Source organism: Homo sapiens, chromosome 13, assembly GCF_000001405.40.
Source record: "Homo sapiens chromosome 13, GRCh38.p14 Primary Assembly".
Taxonomy (NCBI): Eukaryota; Metazoa; Chordata; class Mammalia; order Primates; family Hominidae; genus Homo; species Homo sapiens.
Genome location: NC_000013.11, coordinates 24,866,021 through 24,892,144, shown reverse-complemented (window position 1 = coordinate 24,892,144; position 26,124 = coordinate 24,866,021). Strand labels below are relative to the sequence as shown.

General features: G+C 40.1%; 2 protein-coding genes across 25 annotated transcripts in view; one reads left to right on the top strand and one right to left on the bottom strand.

The window, feature by feature from the left end:
* CPAP (centrosome assembly and centriole elongation protein) overlaps nt 1–9,866 on the top strand; it is a 51,722-nt gene extending 41,856 nt beyond the window's left edge. For 2 of the 8 annotated variants that reach the window (XM_047430483.1, NM_018451.5), the window contains 7 exons: nt 2,745–2,829; nt 6,475–6,539; nt 6,759–6,869; nt 7,682–7,822; nt 7,900–7,984; nt 8,062–8,182; nt 8,776–9,866. In XM_047430483.1, the coding sequence (XP_047286439.1) occupies nt 2,745–2,829; nt 6,475–6,539; nt 6,759–6,869; nt 7,682–7,822; nt 7,900–7,984; nt 8,062–8,182; nt 8,776–8,968 (801 nt within the window). In that variant the 3' untranslated portion in view covers nt 8,969–9,866. Of the gene's footprint in view, nt 1–649; nt 2,654–2,744; nt 2,830–5,759; nt 6,446–6,474; nt 6,540–6,758; nt 6,870–7,351; nt 7,443–7,681; nt 7,823–7,899; nt 7,985–8,061; nt 8,183–8,775 lie in introns of those variants that run through there. The other 6 variants (NR_047594.2, NR_047595.2, XR_941627.2 and 3 more) reach the window with 6 other exon arrangements.
* Nucleotides 3,564–26,124, bottom strand: part of RNF17 (ring finger protein 17) — a 140,815-nt gene continuing 118,254 nt past the window's right edge. For 16 of the 17 annotated variants that reach the window (XM_011535152.3, XM_011535158.3, XM_011535157.3 and 13 more), the window contains 7 exons: nt 25,942–26,001; nt 23,429–23,545; nt 21,406–21,574; nt 17,896–18,031; nt 14,959–15,148; nt 12,850–12,958; nt 12,224–12,408 (listed from right to left, as the gene is read on the bottom strand). In XM_011535152.3, coding sequence (XP_011533454.1) covers nt 12,860–12,958; nt 14,959–15,148; nt 17,896–18,031; nt 21,406–21,574; nt 23,429–23,545; nt 25,942–26,001 — 771 coding nt within the window. In that variant the 3' untranslated portion in view covers nt 12,224–12,408; nt 12,850–12,859. Of the gene's footprint in view, nt 4,032–12,223; nt 12,409–12,849; nt 12,959–14,958; nt 15,149–17,895; nt 18,032–21,405; nt 21,575–23,428; nt 23,546–25,941; nt 26,002–26,124 lie in introns of those variants that run through there. The other variant, XM_011535156.3, reaches the window with a different exon arrangement.

Below are 26,124 nucleotides of genomic sequence, written 5' to 3'. Positions count from 1 at the left end.
TTAGGTGCTTGGGGTACAGCAATAAACAGACAAAATTCCTTGCCCTTATGAAGCTTACATTCCAGTGGTGGAAGAAAGACTGTAATAAGCCAAATAATAAAACGTGTGGTGTGTGAGATGGTGACGAGACCTTCGGAGAAGCAGGGCTGTGGAGTGGCGTCGCCGTCTGGGTGGGACGGTCTGGGAAGCGCATGTAAGGAGTGGCCTGGGTGGCCGCCTGAGCCTGCAGAGGAGCCCCAGGCTGCAGCAGCACCTGAGTGGGCCTGAGACGGGGCAATCGGATTAGTGGGCGAGGAGCGGTGGGCCAGCCCTCGGGGTGGGCTGGGACAGTGGGTGGTGGATGGGATTCCTAACAGATGGCAGCATGCACATGGGCATTTTTTGAGTGAGTGGGAGTCTGGAGGGCTCTGAATGAAGGGTGGCCGGGCCTCTTATTTTAGCTCCGACTGCTGTAGACCGGGAACAGGTGGAAGGGAGCATGGGCAACACCAGGAATGCAGTAGGGCTTGGGGGGACTGGGTGGCAGTGGCGGGTGGAGAGAAGCAGACTGTGTTTGTTGTTGAGCTGTGTGTGTGATTGGTGGTGACAGCAAGGAAGGAGTCAGGAATGGCCTCAACTGTGCTTAGTTTTGTGTTTTGGTCTCATGAAGGTCCCACTGACTAGGAGCAACCGCAAGAAGGGAGCACATGGCCACCAGGAACTCAGGCTTGGACAGGGGAAGTTGAAATGCCTACGAGACACACAGGAGATCCGACTAGGCAGCTGCACACGACAGCACAGGCTCCAGTTGGGGACACACACCTGGGATCGTCTCAATGTGTGATACAGCACTGGGCAGGGAGAGGCCAGCAGGGCTGTGAGTAGGCAGGGAGGAGCAGATGAGCAGCTAGAGAGCAGGAGGCCAGGAGTCCGTGTGGTGTCCTGAGAGCAAGTGAAGAAAAGGCTGCAAGGAGGAGAGTGACCACCTGTGTCAGGTGTGGCAGTGACTCAGAGGAGGACTGAAATCGGCCATGGAGTTTACCAGGGAGAAGGAACTGTGGGCCTTGAGAAGGACTGTTTCTCTGGAGTGTTGAAGAGGAAAGCCTGATCGGCTGGGAGCGGATAACAGCTTTGTTTAATAGTTTTGCAGTAAATTAAGGACATGAGGGTAGTGGCCATAGGGGAATTTTTTTTTTAAGACGGTAAAATTAACAGGTGTTTGTATATTGGTTGGACTGACTCAGTGGAGAGGAAAATATTGACGCAGGAGGAAGTGGAAGAATTGCAGAAGCACCATACTTGGTGAAGTGAGAGGAGCTGGGTCCAGGCAGCGAATGGAGGGCAGGCTGTGGCCAGGCGATGGCCTTTGTGCCCAGAGGCGGGAGGTGCAGGCATAGCCCAGGCTCCTGTGAGGGCAGAGGCAGCAGGAGGGGAGGAGATGCAGAAAGCCAGAGGTCATCTCTGTGAACAAAAGCAGAGGCTGGGGGAATAGAGTGATTCGTGGCTGTACCTGGGCCAACCTGGGTCAGAGACTGAAAATTTAAAATAAGAATTGCACATATTTTTTTCTTATTCAGCTTGTGGTCATCCAAGTGAATGCCACCAAGTGAGCAGAGGGAGGGAAGCTGACAGTGTGTGTGACAAGAGTGCCTGCTGCATAGCATATTTTAGCTGCATGAGGACAGCGTGGGCCCAGAGGCTTTCAGGACATGGCAAGCACTGGGGGTCGAGGACCCGTAGGGCCATGTCAGCTGTGAGCGTGGTCAGGGGTGGGGAATTAACAGAATAAGCTGCAAAGACAGGAGCGTAATGAGAAAGTAGCATTCTTCTCCCCGCCGCTCCCAACCTTTTTAGTATGAAAGCTTCCCAAAATAGAGAATAGGTGAAAGAATAGTACAATTAACACCTGGATATCCACTTGGATTCAACCACTAGGAACATTTTGCCATAGTTATGTCTATGTTTCACTGAACCATTTGAAGGTACTTGTAGGAATCATGGCAATTCACCCCTAAATGCTTTAGCATTTTATTAAATTGCATTAACTTTTGAAGAGACCAGGCTGATTGCTTTGTAGAATGCCCTACCTTCTGGATCTTTGTAAGTAGAATGCTTTGAAATTAATAATTTTGTGGTTATTGATAATTGCAGATGTTGATAGTATTGATAATGACAAGTTCTAGGGTTGACCATTGGGGTGTGGAGCTGAGGTAGGACACCAAGAAGGATGGCACTGGAAGCATCACCTCCTGGCAGGGACGGACATGGCGGGGGCTGGGGCAAGTAGTATTGGGGCTTGATTTGGCCAGAAATGGAGGTGGGGTGCAGAGAGGACTCACCCCACCTCATCCTCATGGGGAGTGCTCAGTGGTGGTCTCGGAGAACTGGGCTCAGCTGGACTGTCCCAGTGGGAGTGGGAGTGGGGAGCACCCAGGAGAGGCTTTGTTCTCGAACACCATGAGCTGAAGGGCCTGTGTGCTCCTCCTCTGCTCTGTAATGGTCAGAGGAGATGGTTCAGGTAACCTTGCCTACTGTGTCCTAACTTGAATGAATGTTTGTCAAAAGGGGCGCGCGTGCGTGTGTGTGCACACGCGCAGTGATTCCTAGATAACAGCTTGTTTGCTTTGGCCTGTTGTATAAATGAAAACAATATGAATAAACAAAACCCACAGCATTCTTAGCACTAGCTGAGTTTTATTAGTTTCACTTAGTGTATTAATAGACTAACACTCATTTTAAATAAAAAATTATCTCTTATACTATAGAACACATCTGTTCGATTTCAAAACAGTCAGATTTCTTCAGGAACCCAGGTAGAAAAATACAAGAAAAATTATCTTCCAATGCAAGGTAAGAGGCTGCATGATCTTTTTATAAAACATTTCAGAATGTAAGGAATAAACAATTTATACCCAACTTAATAAAACATTTCTTAATAAATGTTTTTGAACATTTGAATGAATTTGAATTAATAAATGTAATTGAAGCTCCTGTGCATCATCTTATTCCGCCAGTTAATTTCTACCCTGATAATGGTCCATGCTTCGGTTTTAAATTATTTTACCTTGTTGCGTTCATAAATTGTTATACTGGTCGAGCATCCCAAATCTGAAACTTTTTGAGGGCAAGCATGATGCTCAAAGGAAACATTCATTGGAGCATTTTGAATGTGGATTAAGGATGCTCAACCAATAAGTATTTGCAAATATTCCAAAACTTGAAAAAAAAATGGAGATCTGCAATACTGCTCCCAAGCATTTCTGATAAGGGACACTCACCCTGTAGTATTGTTTCATATTCTGTGTGTCCTTCTGCAATTTTTTTCTTTCAATACTGTATGACTTACCAATCTTAACACATAAAACCTCCAGTTGATTGATTTTAATAGCTATGTAGATTGCATTGTATACTTCCACAGTTCAGCATTCCTGGTGATGGGCAATTAGGTTTGCATGATAATGAATAGGGCTGCAGAGCGTGTCTTGATCCTGTGGCTTCTCTAGGATATATATGAAGAGTAAGATGCCAGGCCATGTCAGCTGGAGGTTTTCCCTTTGCTCTGCAACATGGTTGTACCAGTTTTTTTTACTGTCAGCAGAGTATGCTCTTCATACTTGCAAACACTTGATCTGGCCAGACTTTAACATTTTGGCCAGTTGATGTAAAATGGTGGTTGATTCCGTGAGCTGGTAAGGCCCTGTGAGCATGTTTTCTTACATTTAGTCAGCATTTGAGGTTCCCCTTTTGTGAACTGCCTGTTCATTTCCTTTGTCCATTTAAAATTTTGGATGTGTGTGTGTGTGTTTCTCCTTATAAAATATTCCGCATAGTAATCCTTTGTCAGTTACAAGCACTGCTAATATTTTCTCCCAATCTGGGTTTGGCTTTTCAGTTTGTGTTTTTTTTAATGTATGTTTTTCCTTGTAATGTTGAATTTACTAGTCTTTTAAAATAGTTTTTGGTTTTCATGACTTTAATTCTTCTCAATCCTCAGGCCACAAGTACACCATTTTCTTCTATGCGCTTTTGCATTCACATCTTGAGTTTTTAATCTGGAATTTTAAAAAATTATTTTTGTGAAATAAATTTAGTAAAGATATATGCAGTTTGACAATTAGAAAGCAAATACTCGGGTTACCACCACCTACGTAAAGACATAGATGAGTGGCAGCCCGGAACTGCCCTCTGTGGAGCCCGTGGCTTTTCTTGATGGCACTCTCATTTTCTCATGCTCTGCTTTACTGCGCCTCACACAAACTGTGGTTTTTGGAGACAGAAGACTTGCAGCAACTCTGCACTGAGCAAGTCTGTTGGTGCCATTTTTCCAACAGCATGTGCTCACTTTGGTAGTATACCTTAGCAGTCCCCAACCTTTTTGGCATCAGGGACCAATTTTGTGGAAGACAATTTTTCCATGGACTGGGGTAAGGGGCATGGCTTTGGGATGATTCAGCACCACATTAAATTTATTGTGCACTTTAATTCTAATATTATTACATTGTAATGTATAATGAAATAATTATACAACTCACCATAATGTAGAATCAGGGGGAGCCCTGAGCTTGTTTTCCTGCAATTAGATGGTCCCATCTGGGGGTGATGGGAGACAGTGACAGATCATCAGGCATTAGATACTCTAAGGAGCGTGCAACCTGGATCCCTCGCATATGCAGTTCACAATAGGGTTCTTGCTCCTATGAGAATCTAATGCCACTGCTGATCTGACAGGAGGTGGAGCTCAGGTGGTAATGCGAGTGATGGGGAGCTGCTGTAAATACAGATGAAGCTTCGCTGGCTCGCCCACCCGCTGCTCATCTCCTGCTGTGTGGCCCAGTTCCTACAGGCCACAGACCAGTATACCGTGGGGTTTGGGGCCCCCTGGTATAAGTGGTATACTTATAATCTACATAAATTGCAAATCAGTATCTTCTCCTAGTTCATGGCTTGTCTTTTTGCTCTTTATAGTATCTTTTGATGAACCTAAATTCTTAAAGTAGTTCAATTTCAGTTTTTCCCTTTGGGCAGTGCTTCTTAATTCTTTCCCTATCTTGGGGTCATAAACATCCCTCCCCTAGTATCTACCCAGCTATTCCAGCACTGTGTATTCCCTAGCTTCCACTGTCCCCAGTTTTCCTGTTGTAGGTATTTTTAAGGTGGGTTCACACAGTCCTCTAGACAGTGTGCTTGCACCTGGAGCCTGTCTATGCCCACGGTCACCTCTCGTTATCCTGCCCAGTTGGTAGATACTTTGGGGGTTCAAGTTAATGTTAGTTCATAATCAGCCTGGGAAGAATTAAACTTGATATATAGTGGGTTTGAATCCTGGTTCTGCCTTTTATTAGTTGACAACCTTAGTAGGTTATTTAACCACTTAGCCTTGGTTTTCTTGCCATAAAATGGGAATAATATTCTAGTCTTTTCTCTAAAGGTGGTTATGAGAAATGATGTCACACAGCTTTAGTTATAGTTTAGTTTGCACACATAACCTGTGGGGGTGAAGCATGACATTCTTGTGTCATCCCAAACAGAGCACTCCTGCTATCCCCAGAGCCTTGTCTGCCATCTGCCCCTTTGCTCAAGCCTAAACCCCTGTGTACTCCCAGTACTTTTTCTGTTATCCTTCACCATCCACTCCCAGTAGTCCCTAGACTGATCCCTCTGATGTTATTTTCTGGATCTATTAGTTACATTGAATCATATGAAATTGCTGATGTGTGGCAGTTTGGGACCTATAAATCAGTGATTTCCCATGGTGTAATGGAACCATTCCTGTCTCACAGGCACAGCACAGCCGCCTCACACGCCCAGCAGCTTGTTGGCTGACCACCTGCCTCCGCTCTCCTCCTTCAGGCCATTCTCCCGTAACATCCAGCTCTGTTACACTTTTTAACATGGAGGTCAGATTCTGGCACTTGCTCGAGACCCTTCCAAGTTGAGTGTTTACAATATGATCCATTGGCACATAGGATGAAAATACTGGCACTTCAGTGTATTTTTAGAGAGAGATTCACCTCACTTTGTTGTTGGTGGGGGCGTGTTTATTTTGTAATGTATATGTTGCTGGTACAGTATGTGATTGGTGTGCTGGACATATTACAAAAAGTTTATACCATAGCCACAAGGGCATTTATGTTTTAACTAAATACCCAGTTATTTGGTGAAGCCAAATTCCACAGGTCTTAGATGCCTCTTTTATCTGCACCTTACACCTTGTGATTGTCTCTGAAATACATTTGGGTCTGTCAGGCTGTTTCATCACCTGTCTCTTCCCCAGGATTGTAAACTCTGAGACAAGATACTGTCTTTCTTGGACATCTAGGACTTAAGTACCTGTGTCGGAGAACTACAAATTAGTAAAGAAAAATATTAAGACATCCTTAACTAATGGATAAAGGACAGCAGTTCACAGGATATGAACTAAGGAAATGTGTGATCATACTAATAAAATTTTCAATTAAATATTAAATCTAACTCTTGACAATTTTATTCTAATAGGCAATCCACCTCGAAGATCCAAGTCTGCACCTCCTCGTGATTTAGGCAATTTGGATAAGGGACAAGTAAATCTCTGTTTTTATATATTCTTCAAACATACATTACTTAGGCTTGAAATCAATTTGTTAATAGACTTAACGTTTCTAAACCACGTGTAAAAAAGAGTTTTTACTTAACATTATAAATGTTATATTTTGTAAACACTAGTCCTAGAACCCTATATCAGAATCTGGCTTTGGAAGTAAGAGTAGGTTTTAGCTGCTTGAAATGTGTTGTGCTTACAGGCTGCCTCTCCCAGGGAGCCACTTGAACCACTGAACTTCCCAGATCCTGAATATAAAGAGGAGGAGGAAGACCAAGACATACAGGGAGAAATCAGTCATCCTGATGGAAAGGTTAAAAAATGTTTTTGAAATAATGAATTCTATAAAAAATAAACATGGGTTAAAATAGTTGAAACACATAGAATCTAAAATAAGGGCTCTTTGGACAAGATGCCTTTAGTTGCCATTTCTCGTTCAGAGATTCAGCAAAAGGCGGCATACAATCTCTGTATGATCTTTGTTCTTACTCCAAAGCCTTTGTAATCCTTGGCACTTCTTAAAAGCTTCTGTTCATTCTAGGTCTTCCTTTCTTGCAGCCTTTCTTATACTGATCCTGAGTCAGGGACCTCTCTCCTCATCTCCAGCTAGCACAGTTTTATTCTTATGCTTAGGAAAGTTTCTTAGTGGGAAAACTGCCTGGGGGTTCCAGCTAAAGGGAATGAGGAAGAAAGGGATATATACAGGTTAGAGGTGATGAGGGAATTTTTTCCTCAGGTTTATGGAAAATTTACTTTTCGAATACCTAATCTGGTCCATTTCTATTGAAATTATAGGGTTGGAGTGCTATCCTTGAGGAATGAGAGAAGGACAAAGAACAACAGGCAAAGCAGTAGTTAGACTTTCCTGTACAAAGTCTACTTTAGGGTAACAAATTGTTGATAAGGGAAGGTTTTCTTTTTTAGGTAAATTCCAGCTAATACATGGAAAAGGAATGAGAAAATTAGAAAATCACGAGTTTGCTACTCCTCACGAAATAAAGGATCTTTTGAGGGAATGTTTTACATTTTATTACAAAAAATTTCAAAGTAGGCAGTTGGGAGGAGAATTAGCCATACTTTCGTCAGGAGAAAATCTTAGGTGATAATCTTGTGTTGGTTTTTTAGGTGGAAAAGGTTTATAAGAATGGGTGCCGTGTTATACTGTTTCCCAATGGAACTCGAAAGGAAGTGAGTGCAGATGGGAAGACCATCACTGTCACTTTCTTTAATGGTGACGTGAAGCAGGTCATGCCAGACCAAAGAGTGGTATGTTTCCAGAGGTGTTCTCCTCCATAGTTTAACCATCTCTGGAGAAAAGGCAGACTGACTGTGTGTCTTTACAGATCTACTACTATGCAGCTGCCCAGACCACTCACACGACATACCCGGAGGGACTGGAAGTCTTACATTTCTCAAGTGGACAAATAGGTACAAACTTGCTCCACCCTCTCATTAAATTCTTCCCTTCCTTCAAAAAATATTTACTGTAACAACTTTTTAAACAGAAAAACATTACCCAGATGGAAGAAAAGAAATCACGTTTCCTGACCAGACTGTTAAAAACTTATTTCCTGATGGACAAGAAGAAAGCATTTTCCCAGATGGTACAATTGTCAGAGTACAACGGTATGGCAACATTATGTTCACAGAAAAACCACTCAGTGTGACACCTGTTCATCTGTGCTCAGAAGGTGCCCCAGCCTTGCGTTTCTGATGATATGTGACACCCATATTAGGGGGTTCAGTTTGAATGAATGTCCCACAGGCATGTCAGTCAACTTGATGTGAATTATTTTTCACATTCTCCTTTTTTGTTCCATTCTTTCAAAACAGATTTTTAAGTCTGATCATGCCCCTTCCCAGGAATAACTAACTCTCTTCCCCACCTGATACAGAGCAAACAAACACTCAGATGGTTTTTAAATTAGTGAAAGAAGGGTCCCTTTTAATATAACAACCAAAAGGAAGAACACAAGTTGAAAAAAGTTACTAAGCATTTTGTGATGAAAATATGAATGATTAAAACAATGCTAATCTGATAATTGGAACTATCACCATGAAGCAGAAACACTGTAGAAAGTTACAATTGTATAGGGATAACCAAGGGATGTCTCCAGAAGTAGCTGCCAGACTCAAAAGGCTACTTTTCAGTAGTTTTTCTGTTGTTTATTTTCTATTATTTTTTTTTTAAGAAATCATATTTTTTTTAAATTTTACAGTGATGGCAACAAACTCATAGAGTTTAATAATGGCCAAAGAGAACTACATACTGCCCAGTTCAAGAGACGGGAATACCCAGATGGCACTGTTAAAACCGTATATGCAAACGGTCATCAAGAAACGAAGTACAGATCCGGTCGGATAAGAGTTAAGGACAAGGAGGGTAATGTGCTAATGGACACGGAGCTGTGACGATCCTCATGTGATCATGAAGTAACAGTAACTGACTTTTTATGTTAAAAAATGTACATTTACTGTGGATTCTGTTTAATTTATTGTGTATGTGTGGGGAAAAGATTAGATTCTAAAATAAAAGTTTACCCTGTGGCATCTTCATTTTTATATTCTTTGAAATGCAATGATAGCTCTCATTTATAATTCACTACCCTGTCTTTCAATAGACTAAGGAAAGCATTTTGACTGTTTAGAAATTGTGTACAGGTTTTTACAGTAAGTGGGTGTGTTTATTGGTTAGAAATGGCTATAAAAAAAAACCAAGAAGTACAGGAAGTACATCACCTAGATGTCCCACAGACACATCAGCCGTAGAGCACTGGACTTGTACAGAAGGTGTACTCAAGGAGTAAACACGTGTCTCTGTAGCCAAAATATTACTATGTTCAGTTAGTACCAAAATTAGACCATTTGATCTTCTACAGAGGATCATTAATTATTATAACAGAATGGGAAGTTACAACAGTGGATGAATATAAATAGGTCACACACAACAGGTAGTAATCATGGTGAAGAGAAAGCAGTTATAACAAGGCTGACTTTGTAATGTAATGTCTCAAAATGGGATACTTGAGAGTGGAGGGGGGCATGAACGATGACTAGCCAGTGTTAACCCATGGACCACAGCTACCCTGATGTTACCACAGTGAGATTACTGTAGCCTCATGGAAGCAAGATGTCCCTGAAGGATGGGCAAGTCACTTACTTACTTACTTGTAAATTTATATAATAAATAATTACAGATTGGTCTAGATAGACCTTACCTGTCACATATACTATGAATCAGGTTTTGTTAATGAAATCTATCAATTCCAGGTGACTTAACTGAATATGAAAAATAAAACTTTTTGAAGAATATAAGTACAGATGTATCTATATATAGATGTATCTATATATCTATCTATATAGATGTATCTATATCTATCTATATAGATGTATCTATATATCTATATAGATGTATCTATCTATATAGATGTATCTATCTATATAGATGTATCTATCTATATAGATGTATCTATATATCTATATAGATGTATCTATATATATAGATGTATCTATATATCTATATAGATGTATCTATATATCTATATAGATGTATCTATATATCTATATAGATGTATCTATATATCTATATAGATGTATCTATATATCTAGATGTATCTATATATCTAGATGTATCTATATATCTATATAGATGTATCTATATATCTATATAGATGTATCTATATATCTATATAGATGTATCTATATATCTATATAGATGTATCTATATATCTATATAGATGTATCTATATATCTATATAGATGTATCTATATAGATAGATATCTAGATATATAGAGACGGGGTTTCACCATGTTGGCCAGGCTGGTCTCAAACTCCTGACCTCAAGTGATCTAGATAATCTAGATAGATATATCTGTATACCTAGATAATCTATATAGATATCTATAATCTAGATAGATATATATAGGTTATCTAGATATATCTATCTAGATATATCTCTAGATTATAGATAGCTATGTAATCTAGATAGATATATCTATATATCCTTACCTCTCCTGAGATATCTCTAGAATATACCTATATATAGATATCTACAGATACATAGATGATATATTCTAGAGATATCTCAGGAGAGGTAAGGATTTTTAAATGAGACAAAAAACACAAACCTTAAAGGAAAAGGTTGATAGGCCAGGCATGGTGGCTCACACCTGTAATCCCAGCACTTTGGGAGGCCAAAGTTGGCAGATCACTTGAGGTCAGGAGTTCGAGACCAGCCTGGCCAACATGATGAAACCCCGTCTCTACTAAAAATACAAAAGTTAGCCAGGTGTGGTGGTGCATGCCTGTAATCCCAGCTACTTGGGAGGTAGGACAATCGCTTGAACTCAGGAGGCAGAGGTTGCAGTGAGCTGAGACCATGCCACTGCACTCCAGCCTGAGTGGGACTCTGTCTCAAAGGAAAAAAAAAAAAATGTTGATAAATGAACGAACATTTCTGTCAAATGATGATATTACAAAACAGGGGAAAGGCAAGCCCCAAATTAGAAGACAAACAACTGATCAAGGATGACTAGAATACATTGTTTCTACAAATCAGTAAGAAAATTGCAAATAACTCAATAGAAAAATGGACAAACTATTTGAACAAGCAATAAACAAGTGACGGAATGGTCACTAGCTAATAAACCAGTGAATGCATATTCAATGAGATATGCACTGATGAGATACCTTTTCTTACTAATATCACAGTCTGGCAAAAGTCTGGCGACACCAAGTGCTGGCAAGGAACTCAGACAACTGGTGGTGGGATAAATTGGTAGAATTACTGTTTAGAAAGCAAAAAAGTAGTTGTGAAATAATTGTAAAAGTCAAAAAGCAACCCCATGGCCCAGCAAATTCCATCACTATGTATATGTACTAGAAAGCCGCTCATGTATACAAGGCTCCTAAAGAGGAACATTTATGAGAAAAAAACTGGTAATGGAATATCAGGATAAATTATGTACACAGATATAGCAGTAAAAGTGAATAGAGTTATACATACCAACATGGATTAAAGAGCAAATAAAATAGAAAATAAAAATTGTGTGACAGCAGATACATTAAAAAATACCATGTCATTTATGGATGCATTCATATGTAGTAAAACTATAAAGACATTTATATGAATGATAAACACCAAATCATAACAGTAGTGTTCACCTCTTAATATGCTTTGGCTGTGTTCCCACCCAAAATCTCGAATTGTAATCCCAATGTGTTGGAGGAGGGACCTCGTGGGAGGTGATCAGATCACGGGGGTGGTTTCCCCAGGCTGTTCTCATGCTAGTGAGTTCTCACAAGATCTGATGGTTTTATAAGGGGCGTTTCCCCCCTTTGCATTTCTCCCTCCTGCCACCTTGTGAAGAAGGTGACTTGCTTCCCCTTCCCCCATGTTTGTAGGTTTCCTGAGGCCTCCCCAGCCATGTGGAACTGAGTCAATTAAACCTCTTTCCTTTCTAAATTAACCAGTCGCAGGCAGTTCTTTATAGCAGTATAAGAAGAGACTAATACACTTCTACAGAAGGCAGGGGGAATGTGTTTGGGAGAAGCCTTTTTGTACTAATGTCTTAAGTTGAATCATTAGGTATAAAATGAACTAAATTTTTTTTCATGTGTCTTAGCTATTTCATTTTGAAATTGTGGTAAAATGAAACAAGCAAATGTTTGGAAGCGAACATTTATTTACTTTTTTTCCCCACACAATTCCTAACAGTTCAATTAAAAATGAGAGGTAAAGCACTAGTGCTGAACAAGTTAGGAAAATTAAGCCTGAAATAGTCTAAAGATAAGACATAGTCTAAACATAACAGAATTCTTCTAGGCTTCTATAGATGCTCTCACTGTATACCTGAAAAATAAAATGTGTTATTTTAAACCTTTGCTTAATGTAAATGTTCAATCTAGCTGAATCATTTCTTATGGACAAGATAAAAAGTTAGCTGGCTACCCATGTAAGTACGTGGTATGAGGATGGTGACTGCTCAGTAGTTCTATGTGCTTAGCAGATATTTATGTGCTTAAAATTATTTACAGTGGCCACTCTCTCCTGCTCTCCCTATGTACCCTGGTACTGTCAGAGTCATGACAGCCCATCCAGGCATCCTTACAGATAGGGGACCTCTTTGATACTAGTGCTGAATAGGTGAGAAGGGCCTATGAAGAAATCTGGTGGAGCGTTGCTGTCATTCCTTTGAGAAATCAAGGAAAATCCACGGGTGCTTTTCTGATCAATCTAGCATTCATCTCCACTAGTCCCATGCCTTATGCTATGAAGAGAATGAGAACTTACACTTAGGCACTTATTCATCTTTATCTGCAAGCCCCATTTCTACCAACGGCATATGAACTGGATGCTGTTCATCGTCATATAATGTCACTATCTGTTCTGGTGCTGGAGCCTAAAATTAAAAGATACAGTTGTCAAGAAAACAGTAATGTCTTTGCTGCCTTTTCCCTCTCATATCTGGCCATTCACACGGGTGTGAAAAGGTGTTCTCAGGGGCCTATTGATAATTTATGCTCTATGCTTCCAAAAGGCATCTGTAGTGGTTTCCTGCAAAATCCCATTCTTTCCATTCTTCTGCTCTCTTTAAATTCCTTCTCACAAGGTCTTCCTAAATGAAGCCAGTGGGCTTTGTCACCACCATCCCTTGTTACAGTTCATTTGCATTCCACACAAAGCATTATACCTTTATGCATAAACTGACTGTGATGGTTAATATTAGTTGTTAACTTGGCTGGATTGAGGGATGCCTCAATGGCTGGTGAAGCATTTCTAGGTGTGTCTGTGAGGGTGTTTTCAGAGGAGACTGATGCTAAATCAGTGGACAGAGAGGAAGACCCACTCTCTATGTGGGCAGGGGACATCCAGCTGGCTGGGAGACAGGCAGAAAGGGGGTTCTCTGCTCTCCTTTCCTTCCTAAGTGGGGGACACCTTTTCTCCTCTTGCCCTCAGACATCAGCCTCCAGATTCTTTGGTTTTTGGACTGTAGAACTTGCACCAGTGACCTCCCAGGGGCTCTTTGGCCTTGGACTAGCAGCTGCATTGTCAGCTTCCCTAGTTCTGAGGCCTCCAGACTGAGCCACGCTACCAGCTTCTCTGGTTCTCCAGCTTGCAGACAGCTATCATAGGACTTCACCTTTGACTGTGTGAGCCAATTCCCGTAATAAATCCTCTCATATATCCTATGGTTCTGCTTATCCTTATATACTGACAAAATTCTGAATATTAGAGAAGTGAAAAAATACCTATCTATAAGAAATACTTGCCCTTTTTTCACTGGGTTGAGAGAAACCCTGTATGAGCTATTCATACCACTCTGCACATGCAATAGCATATATACACAGGTTTTCAAAAAGCACTTTCCAGGAACCATGCTGACTGATTATGAGCTCATTTTTGTCATAGCCAGTGTGTCAGGAATCCCCAAATCATGGCACCAGGCAGGAATCACAAAGGAGGGAAGCAGGCTGAGCTGCACACCAGCAGTGAGGACTAGGTGAACTGAACATCACATGTTCCTATCTAAGGGGCTGTGGCTACACTTTCAGCTGACTGCCATTTCAGAGGGATGGGGAGACCCAGGATTCCTAGTTTTTAGAATATCTAATCAGGGCCAGAAATACAGACTTTTTGGGTAAAATTTCCAACTTTAAAACACTGTGTGCTAAATAAAACAAGGTACAGGCCAGATTCTGCCTGTGGGCTACTGTGACATGCTGAGCCTAAGAAGAAAACATTTACATTAAATGCAGTCTGGAGTTTTTTAGTTGACCTTTTGACACAGGTTCTACTACATCAAATAAGTAGTACAATTATGAGATTAGTACAATTAGCATAATTCAAGCCTTTCTATAATGAGCAGAACTACCATTCTTTCTTTCCCACTCTTCTTTTAGGATGCAGGTGAAATGCCACATTCCTGTTTTACTTATTCAATTAAATACTTGAGTGGCTTCTAAGTAGCAGCTCAAACACCCTTTCCTGTCCTCTCCAGATGCAAATAATCATTTCTTCTTACGCTTCCCCCACCCACAAAGTTAGCTATAGCTCTGTTATAGTACTTATTTCATTCAACCTCATACTTGTTTGCATATTTGTTTCCCCATTATAAGTTAATTATGGGATACTCATCTTGAGCATTTTATTAATTACATAAATGATATTTTATATCACCACAGGGGTAAGCAGTTTGTTAAATATAAACTAAGACATTTTAACAAGCCTCAAAATTAAGCTTTATATGTATATATAAAGCTATACATATAAACTATATCCTATATAGCTGTATATGCTTTAGTATACTCTCGCATGTAGACGCTGCATAGAAACAAACACTTTACAAAGTATCGACACAGAAATAGCTTTACAATAATTTTGGCTACTTGAGACACTTACCATGGACACAGCATAGAGTTGTTTTCCTTGAAGACAGTCTATCATAGCCCACAGTGCCTCCATGCTCCATTTGGGACAATATGGTATTCTTGTCTCCCCTAGATCCCTTAAGGGAGGTTTAAACCCTGCCAAGAGAACCTTTATGGCTCGAGCTGGATACCGCATAAGATGAGAAGGAATTTGGCACAGTCTGTCACAAAAGAAATTCTTACATTAAAATTCTCTTCCGGCTGAAACTATCCAATTCTTAGAAGAAAACATAGGGGAAACGCTTCATAACATTGGATTTTGCAGTGATTTTTTTGGATACGACACCAAAAGCATGAGAAAAATCAGATAAAATGAGAAAAATCAGATAAAATGGACTTCCTAAAAAAATTAACTTCTGTGTATCAAAGGACACAACGGAACAAAAAGGCAACCTACAGAATGGGAGAAAATACACATAAACACGGACATTACTCTAAAGATCTACAAATGACCAACAAGCACATGACAGGATGTTCCACGTCACTAATCATTAGGGAAATGCAAGTCAAATCCAAAGTGAGACTCCACCTCACACCTACTAGAATGGCTATTATAACACAACAAAATTACAAGTGCTGGTGAGGATATGCAGGAATTGGAACCTTTGCGCACTCTTAGTGAGAATGTAAAATGGCGCAGCCACTATGGGAAACAGCATGGAGGTTCCTCAAAAATTAAGCATAGACCATATGATCCAGCAGTTCCATTTCTGGGTATATACCCAAAATAATTGAAAGAAGGTACTCAAAGAGATAAATGTATACCCGTGTTCGCAGAAGCATTATTCACAAGACCCAAAAGCGGGGAGCAACCCAAGTTCCACCTTCCAGGGAAGGGATAAATAAGATGTAGTATATACTGTATGAGGGGGCTTCAAAAAGTTCATGGAAAAATGAAATTAAGATGAAAATAAAAAATGTAAACTTTATTTCTCAACATAAGTTCCATCAAGATCATGACACATTTGTAAGCTATGGTAACAACCCTTTATTCCATCCCTTAAGAACTGAGGGTCCTGGGAATATAACCATGTCAATGTGATCTTTCTTACATTATTAACTGGACAAAAATGGGCGCCCTTTAAATACTTTGTAAGATTAGGAAACAAAAAACAAGTTAGAAAGGGCCAAATCAGAACTGTAAAGTGGATGCCTAATGATTTAGGTAAAACTCTTGCAAAATTGCTCTTGTTTGATGAGAGGAATGAGCAGGAGCACTGTGGTGGTGAAGGACTCTCTGGTGAAGCTTTCCCAGGCGTTTTCCTGCTAAAGCTTCCGCTAACTTTCTCAAACACTCAAAAGAAGAAGATGTTGTCATTCTTTGGCTTTCCAGAAAGCCGGCAAGCAAAATGCCTTGAGCATCGTAAAAAAATTGTTGCCGTGACCTTTGCTCTTGGCTGGTCCACTTTTGACTGGACCACTTCCGCCTCTTGCTTTCACTATGCTCTGCCTTTAGGATCACACTGGGAAAGTCATGCTTCCTCTGCAATTACAGTTCTTTGAAGAAATGCTTCAGGGTCTTGATCTTGCTTGTCTACAGTTTCCATTGAAAGCTGTGCTCCTATCTGCAGCTGATCTGGGTCCAACAGGTTTGGCACCCATTGAGTGGAGAGTTTGCTCAGCTCTTTCAGTCAGCATTGTATAAGCTGAACCAACTGAAATGTCTTTGGTGGTGGCTATTATTTCTGCTGTTGTCAGTCCTCTTCAATTAGGGCATGAACAAGATTAATTTTTTTTTCCTCACAAATTGATGGGGAAGGACTACTGCTATGGGCTTCATCTTCAACATCATCTTATCCCTTCATAAAACAAGCTATCCATTTGTAAACTGCTTTCTTTGGGGCATTATTTCCATAAACATTTTATAAAGCAAAAATGATATCACCATTCCTCCACCCAAGCTTCACCATAAATTTAATGTTTGTTGTTGTTTCAATTTGAGCAGAATTCACGTTGCACTTATCCTTTTTAGTGCCTCAAACTAGATCCTGTTCAGACATGTTAGAACAAGTTAGTACAAATTTATTTTGGTGAAAAAATTTTGAAATCCATGCAGTTTTTTTCATAGTATGCATTTTCCATGAACTTTTTGAAGACCCCTCATATATATAAGGAATATTATTCAGCCTTAAGAGCAAATTCTGACACATGCTACAACATGAATGAATCTTTAAAAATTATGCTATTGAAATAAGCCAGACACAAAAGGACAAATACTGTATGAATTTACTTATATGAGGTACCCAGAACAGGCAAGTTCAGAGACAGTAGACTATGGGTTACTAGGGACTGGGTGAGAATGGACTGTGATCCTATTACTTAACAGGTGCAGGGTTTCTGTTTGGAATAACAAAATTGTTCTGCAAATGCAAAGTGGTGATAGTTGTATAACCTTGTGAATGTATTTAATGCCAATTAGTTACTATACCTAAAAATAACTAAAATGGGCCAGGTGTGGTGGCTGACACCTGTAATCCCAGCACTTTGGGAGGCTGAGGCGGGGGGATCACCTGAGGTCAGGAGTTTGAGACTAGCCTGGCCAACATGGCGAAACCCCATCTCTACTAAAAATACAAAAAAAATTAGCCGGGATGGTGGCGGGCACCTGTAATTCCAACTACTAGGGAGGCTGAGGCAGGAGAATCACTTGAACCTGGGAGGCGGAGGTTGCAGTGAGCCAAGATTGCGCCACTGCACTCCAGCCTGGGCAACAGAGCAAGACTCATCTAAAAAAAAAAAAAAAGCTACAATGGTAAATTTTATGTATACTTTAACACGAAAAAAATTCCTAATTTATAAACAGCCTTAGAATAACCCTTTTCTTTTAAAAGAGGCAAAAATATTCTCAATAAGAAAACTATTTAAAAAAAAAGAAATCTAATTCAACACCCCGACATTTATTTTTAACCTGTTTAATGTCAGCTTTGCAGTTGATCCATAATCAACAAATTGTACTAAGATAGATAAAGGATTAAATTCTTTAATGGCAACAATCTTCGCTCTATACCATAAGCCATCATCATATTCTGCAAGGCAAGGCATTTCTGGAAAGACAGAAAAAGGGAAAAAATCATATTGTCTTTCATTAAATTTTTTTAATCCAAAGGAAATCAGCATATCAAAGGGCTACTTGTACCCCATGTTTGTTGCAGCACTATTCACAATAGCCAAGATACGGAATCAACCCAGGTGTCCATCAACAGATGAATGGATAAAGAAAATGTGGTGATTATATACACAATGGAATACTATTTGGCCATAAAAAAGAATGGAATCCTGTTATTTGCAGCAACATGGATGGATCATTATATTAACTAAGATAAGACAAGCACAGAAAGACAAATATCGCATGTTCTCACTCATATGAGAGCTAAAGAAGTGGATCTCATGAAGATAACAAGGAGATTAATGGTTCAGTTACATGAGGCCATGAAAGGCAAATATACATGTGTTTGGGGTGGGGGGATGAAGAGAGGTTGGTTGATAGGTACAAACATATAGTTGGAAGGAATAAGTTCTAATATTTGAGAGCAGAGTAGGGTGCCTAGTTAACAACAATGGATTGTATATTTCAGATTAACTAGAAGTCTTGAAATGTTTCCAACACATAGAAATAACTGCTCGAGGTGATGAATACCCTAAATACTGTCTTGATAATTACACATTCTATGCAGGTAATATCACATGTACCCCATAAACATACACAATTATGTATCAAAAAATGTTTAATACAGAAAAGTACAAAGAAGAAAATGTAACAAATATAGGCTCACAATCCAGAATTAAATATTGAACAGTTGGTCTTATGTTGGCTTCTCTTTTTCTGTTCATATTTTATAAGCCTTTGTTCACTAATTCCTAAGGATTAAGCTTCAAAGAAAGGCATTTCTCCCATTCCCAGAGTTGCTAGTTCTTGTATTCCTAAGACTTATTAGCTCATATTGCCACTGCCCCAACTTCTGATACTCCCCTAGTCTCTTCTAGCGTGGGCCATCATCTTTGGCAAAGGATGTAAATATTTGCTGTTCCTGCCTTCCATTCTGTCCTTTCATTTGCTATGGGACTACCAGAATTGAATTTTTAAAAATTCAATTACATTGCTCTTATTTAAAATTCTTTAATGGTACACCTTAACTGCCTGTAATATCAAGTCCTTATTACAATGTACAGGCTTCTTCAGTTGTCTGTTCTCCCAAACAACTTCTACCACATTTCCTCAATGAGTCACCTAAACAGGATTACTTAAAACTTTGATCCCTCTATTTAGTTCATGGCTGTCCCCCTTCATCTAAAGTTTTCCTGAGCCCTTCTTTTTATGATGTTTATCATAAACATCGGGAACACATTCTGACAGTTTTTAGGGTATTCATCACCTTGAGCAGTTATCATTCTTCTTTCAAAGCCCAGCTCCAACATGACCAACAAAGCCCTAGTAACTGATCACTGTTTTCCCTGTGATCCTACGGCATTACACACACTCCTTTAAGAAGAGCTATTCTTTTCATACTCTACTTGGTTTACATGTCTCTTCTCTGCTTAGAGCACCTGTTCTTGAGTGCAGAACTGATGTTTGTATTCCTAACACGGTACCTGATACAAGCAAATACTCAGTAAAAAAAAAGTGTACCAATGAGTGCTAGGCTTGAGTTAAACGGTGGAAAAATTAGTACGGTATATACTTCCCTTCGTACATCCTTAGATTTCAGAGTGATGGCATGCGCCTCAGTTTCCCATCTTGTTCTACTTCCTTATGTCATATGCTTTCTGTGTAATTTCACAGAGAATTCTACTTGTGGGCAAGTGGCATTAAAATACTTGACTAATGAATAAAGATTTTTATTTCAAGCGATTTTAATTAAAGAGTTATAGACAATTTCTTGCATATATAAACTCATCAGGGCTAGGCACGGAGGCTCACGTCTGTAATCCCAGCACTTTGGGAGGCCGAGGTGGGCAGATCATCTGAGGTCAGGAGTTCGAGACCAGCCCGACCAACATGGAGAAATCCCGTCTCTACTAAAAATACAAAATTAGACAGGCGAGGTGATGCATGCCTGTCTACTTGGGAGGCTGAGGCAGAAGAATCGTTTGAACCCGGGAGGCAAAGGTTGCAGTGAGCCAAGATTGCACCATTGCACTCCAGCCTGGGCAACAAGAGTGAAACTCCGTCTTCAAAAAAAAAAAAAAAAAAAAAAAAAAGTCATCAATAAAACAAGAATCTCATCTGGGCCGGGCACGGTGGCTCACGCCTGTAATCCCAGCACTTCAGGAGGCCAAGGCGGGTGGATCACGAGGTCAGGAATTCGAGACCAGACCGGCCAAGATAGTGAAACCCTGTCTCTACTAAAAATACAAAAATTAGCTGGGCGTGGTGGCGCGTGCCTATAATCACAGCTATTCGGGATGCTGAGGCAAGAGAACTGCTTGAACCCAGGGGACAGAGGTTGCAGTGAGACGAGATTGCACCACTGCACTCCAGCCTGGGCAACAGAGCAAGACTCATCTCCAAAAAAAAAAAAAAAAAGGCTGGGCAAGTTGGCTCATGCCTATAAGCCCAGCATTTTGGTCAAGGTGGGCGGTTCACTTGAGGTCAGGAGCTTGACACCAGCCTGGCTAACATGGGGAAACCCCATCTCTACTAAAAATACAAAAATTGGCTGGGTGTGGTGGCACGCACCTGTAATCCCAACTACTTGGGAGGCTGAGGCAGGAGAATCGCTTAAACCTGGGAGCAGGAGGTTGCAGTGAGCCGAGATCACGTCACTGCACTCCAGCTTGGGCGACAAAACGAGACTCTGTCTCAAAAAACAAACAAACAAAACACTGACTACAGGTAAGACATTAAGCTGATGTGTGTTTTTCCTTTGCTAAAATATCAAGAATAAATACATCTCTATGCATTACATACCGCAATAACTAGATACATTTTCCTCAGAGGAGAATCACACATATTTAATAAAGATGGGAAGAATGGACTGAAAAGATAAAAGAGTAGAAATCTGACCTGTCTTGACAGAACAGGTCATACTTTGAGCCTCCACCTCAAGATTATAATTGTAGGTGGCTTGTAATTTAAATGATGACCATTAAGGTCTGAATGACAACTCTTGCAATTTCAGCTACTGATAACCTCAAACTTAGAAAATAATCTTTATGCAATTTTCCAACGCTGTCTTATTTGTGGAACGTGAAAGTGTTCTCCAAGGGAGTTTACTTAGCGTCTCTTAGTTCACCTTCCTTATCTAGAAAATGAGAAAGAAGTCATCTTCTGGGTATCTTGAGGATTACAGGAAATCATGCATGTAAAGTGAATATGAGGAAAATATCAGCATTAGAGATAGCCCAAGGTCATCAGCCCATTGAAACAAAATCCAAGTTTTATTAAGTATCCTGTTTCATTCAAATATAGTAAGTATACCTGTTCTAAAATCCGTCAGAGGAGGAAGCGCCTCTACCTTCTTATTAACCCTCTGCAGTGCTTCATCAAGGCTCTCGGATTCTGATTCCCCGCTGACTCCACTATCATCTGTGTCACTATGCTGGTTAGACTGGTTAGAAGTTTCTATAGAATCAAGGCAAATATACACCTAAGTGGGGAGAATGAAAGGAAAACTTTCAGATTCTGGAATGTCAAGAATTCACGTATGTGGACAAAATTACTGTAGCAGACAGCCTCCAGCGATGCTCCCAGAGACCCCTACACCTCCTGATATTCACCTCCTATTCCTTCCCACATCCTACCACACTTATCTTGTGATCAAGAGAACATGATTAGGCTGGGCATGGAGGCTCATGCCTATAATCCCAGCACTTTGGAAGGCTGAGGTGGGAGGATCGCTTGAGTTCATGAGTTCAAGACCAGCCTGAGCAACACAGTTAGACCTCATCTCTACTAAAAATCAAAAAAATTAGGCCGGGCGCGGTGGCTCACACCTGTAATCCCAGCACTTTTGGAGGCCGCGGCAGGGTGACTCACAAGGTCAGGAGATCGAGACCATCCTGGCTAACACGGTGAAACCTCGTCTCTAGTAAAAATACAAAAACAAAAATTAGCCGCGTGTGGTGGCAGCCGCCTGTAGTCCCAGCTACTCTGGAGGCTGAGGTGGGAGAATGGTGTGAACCCGGGAAGTGGAGCTTGCAGTGAGCTGAGATTGCACCACTGCACTCCAGCCTGGGCGACAGAGCGAGACTCCGTCTCAAAAAAAAAAAAAAAAAAAAAAAAATTAGCTGGGCATGGTAGTACATGCCTGTGGGCCCAGCTGCTCGGGAGCCTGAGGCAGGAGGAATGGTTGAGCCTGGGAAGTTAAGGCTTCAGTGAGCTATGTTTATGTCACTGCACTCTCCAGCCTGGATGACAAAACGTGACCCCTATCTCAAAAAACAAACAAACAAAAAACCACAACTGCAGTGACAGTGTGTGACTCCTGAGACTGGCTTACAAGGACATGTAGCTTCTGTCTTGGTAGAACTCTGCCAGGGATTTCATGCGCCAGGAAGCCATAGCCATGCTGCAAGCAGACAACTGGAGAGGCCACGGGCAGGAAACACAGCCTTCCAGGTGGTGCCATGTGAGTGAGTCTTTTCGAAAGTGGTTTCTGCAGCCCCTGCCAACATCATGATTGCAACCTCCTGAGAGCCTGAGCTAGAGTGCTTAACTCAGCAGCTCCCAGATTCCTGACCCTCATGTGTGTTTGTATTAAGCTGCTAAGTTTAGGGGTAAATTGTGATACAGCAATAAATAAGCAAAATTACCAAAACCAGCAATAGTTGTTTAGCAACTATATAGAGCATAACATGCTACTTACTCTGCTCTCTGATGAAATTAGAAAGCAAATCCTTCCCCTGCCTGTGAGAGAATGGCTTACTGTGTAAAAGGCTGAAGGAGCTGCTGAAGCTACTTATTTCTTCCTCTCTTTGTTAGCCAAGGACATGTAATTGAACTTTTAGTGCCTTTATTCACACATTCAATCAATATTCACCGGGTGCCTAGTATTTAACAGGCACTATTCTAGGTTCTGGGGATACCTCAATGAACAACATGGAGCTATACCCTAAGGGGAGGCAGACAAACATAGTAAGTGGAACACGGTGTCAGCCAGGTGGTTAAGTGGAAGAGTTCAGTGCAGGAAGAGGAAGGGAAGCGAGATGTTTAAGATTTCATAGGTAGAAACGGTTCCACCTTAAAAATCTAAATATCAGATGTAAGCATAACATTGAATAAAGCAGCACAACACCAGGAACCCAGTAGGTCCTTAAAAAACACTTGCCTTAAACATTGACAAATATCTGAAGAGGATATTATAGGGTGGGGCAAACTAGAGTTCACGAATTTGCAACATTTGAAATCAGGAAAATAGAGAAGTGAAGAGTCACTTATAGTGTTTAAGACCAAGACAGCTTGTTACATTTTTAATCACCAACTAATCATTTAGATCACATACTTCATTAGGTGAGACAACGTGCTTAACTTGAACAGCATAGAGTTCTCCTGGGGAAGGCAGAGATGAAGACAAATATGGTGGTAAAAGAGGAGTGTCTGTTTCAGCCGAAAGCAATTCCTAAAACACCACAGAAAAATTCAAATTTCAGAATAAGGACAAAAATCTATTACATTATAAAAATTCATGATGGTGCCAATTTACCTTTCAATTAGCAGAAAGCAAGTTTTTTTTTTTTTTTTTTTTTTTTGAGACGGAGTCTCGCTCTGTCGCCCAGGCTGGAGTGCAGTGGCGGGATCTCGGCTCACTGCAAGCTCCGCCTCCCGGGTTCACGCCATTCTCCTGCCTCAGCCTCCCAAGTAGCTGGGACTACAGGCGCCCGCCACTACGCCCGGCTAATTTTTTGTATTTTTAGTAGAGACGGGGTTTCACCGTTTTAGCCGGGATGGTCTCGATCTCCTGACCTCGTGATCCGCCCGCCTCGGCCTCCCAAAGTGCTGGGATTAGAGGCGTGAGCCACCGCGCCCGGCCCCAGCAAGCTCTCTTAAATACTGAATACCATAAAATGATTTTGTTACAGTAGGACCAAAATGTGATGATAATCAAAGATCTTTAGTATTCTTTTGTCCTCTAATTTCAAAAAGTATTTTGTGCAAAAAAATGCATGAATGTTTATTGATGTGCATATTATCTACACATATACATACAATTCTAGAAGAATAGTCAATAGTAACTGCCACTAATGAGGGCTGGGGTGTTTGAGGTGCAGAATGAGGAACAGATCCTTTTTCCTTTTATACATTTTTGCTGTATTTAAGAATAAGTACTTCTAATAAAAACTAAAATAATGCATGAAATGCTAAAAGAAAATTTAAGTTAAAATCATCAAAAAGGTGTGCTTTCTCTTAAGCCATATGAAAGCAAAGGAATACTACAGTTACATGATTCCCAGGAAGATCACGGCACCCAGCAATTGTTAAAAGCAAATGTGTATAAAAATGTGGTGCATGTTTTTCTGCAAATACAAGCAATATCTTTATAAAAAGTTCTTATTCTTCAAGAATATGGTAATTATCTTAAGTAAAACCATCATATTCAAATTTGTAGGTTAATTTATTACTATTTAACATTTCAAACTGGTAGACAAAAAAAAAGTTTGAACCTAGGAAAATTCAGCAAAAAGTGATCAGCCACTGTTGAAATTTGTTGAACTTAAGTAACAGGCAATTTACAATAAGGTTATGTTATTTTCATAAATTACAAAGGTTTATGTACTAAAACTCTTCCTACACCAAAAAGTCCAAGTGACAAAAGAAAAAAAACAGATAAATTGGACTTCATCAAAATTAAAAACTTTGGTACTTAAAAGGACACTATCAAAAAAGTGAAAAGAAAGCTGGATGTGGTGGTCCATGCCTTTAGTTCCAGCTACTCTGCAAAAAGGCAAGAGGGCTGCTTGAGCCCCGGAGTTCAAGACCAGCCTGGGCAATATAGCGAGACACTCTCAAATCCATTAATGTGAAAAGACAACCCACAGAATAAAAGAAAATATTTGCAATCATATATTTGATAAGGTACTTGCATGCATAAAGAACTGTTATAGCTCAACAATAAAAAGATAAATAACTCAAATAGATTTGAAGGGATTTCTCAAAATATATATATATATCCAATAGGCACATGAAAAGATGCTCAACAATACTAATCACCAGGACAAGCATATCAAGTCTACAGTGATATGCCACTTCATGCCTATCCTAAAATGGCTAGAAAAACAGAATACAAGTAGTAATCTGGTGAGGAGATGGAAAAAATGGGGTCCTTGCACACACACTACTGACATACATGTAAAATGATGCTGCCACTTTGGGAAACAGTCTTGGAGATCTTTAGAATGTTAAACATAGTTACCACAGACTCAGTAATTCCACTACTAGGTGTATACCCTAAAGAAGGGAAAACATGTCTACATAAAAACTTGTACCTGATCAGACAGCAGCATTACTCGCAACCACCATAAGGTGGAAACAACCCATGTGTCTATCAACAGATGAATGGGTAAACAAAATACATCCATACAATGGAATTTTATTCAGCAACAAAAAGAAGTGAAGCACTGATATATATACAACATGTATGAACCTTGAAAATGTTATGCTAAGTGAAAAGCCAGCGACAAAGGACCACATAGTGTATGATTCCATTTATATGACATGCACAGGATAAGCAAATCCATAGGGACAGAAGTGGCTGTCATGAAGCTAGGGAAGGAAGAATGCAGAATGACTGCTGCTGGTACAGGGCTTCTTTTGGGGGTGATGAAATGTTCTGGAAATAGTGGTGATGGTTACAAAACAGTGAACGATATTAAACAACACTGAACTGTATATTCAATAGGTAAATTCTATGATATATAAATAATAAAACTGTTATAAAAGAGAGCTTTCTGTCCTGTATCAGATCCTTTTTATTAATGAAGTGTCCAAAGTTTCCAAAATACTTGGATTGTTACTTACCTCAAACCTTATTTCCCATTGTTCCTCTTCATACTTTTTATCATGATCTGATCTTGGTTTCTGAAATAATATGGTATTGAGTAAAATCACCTTTAGCTATATTGTTTTAAGGTACTTTCCATATTTCATCCCCACAAAAACTGGGTGCATTTCCTTGTTGGTATTCATTTATTTATTTCAGAT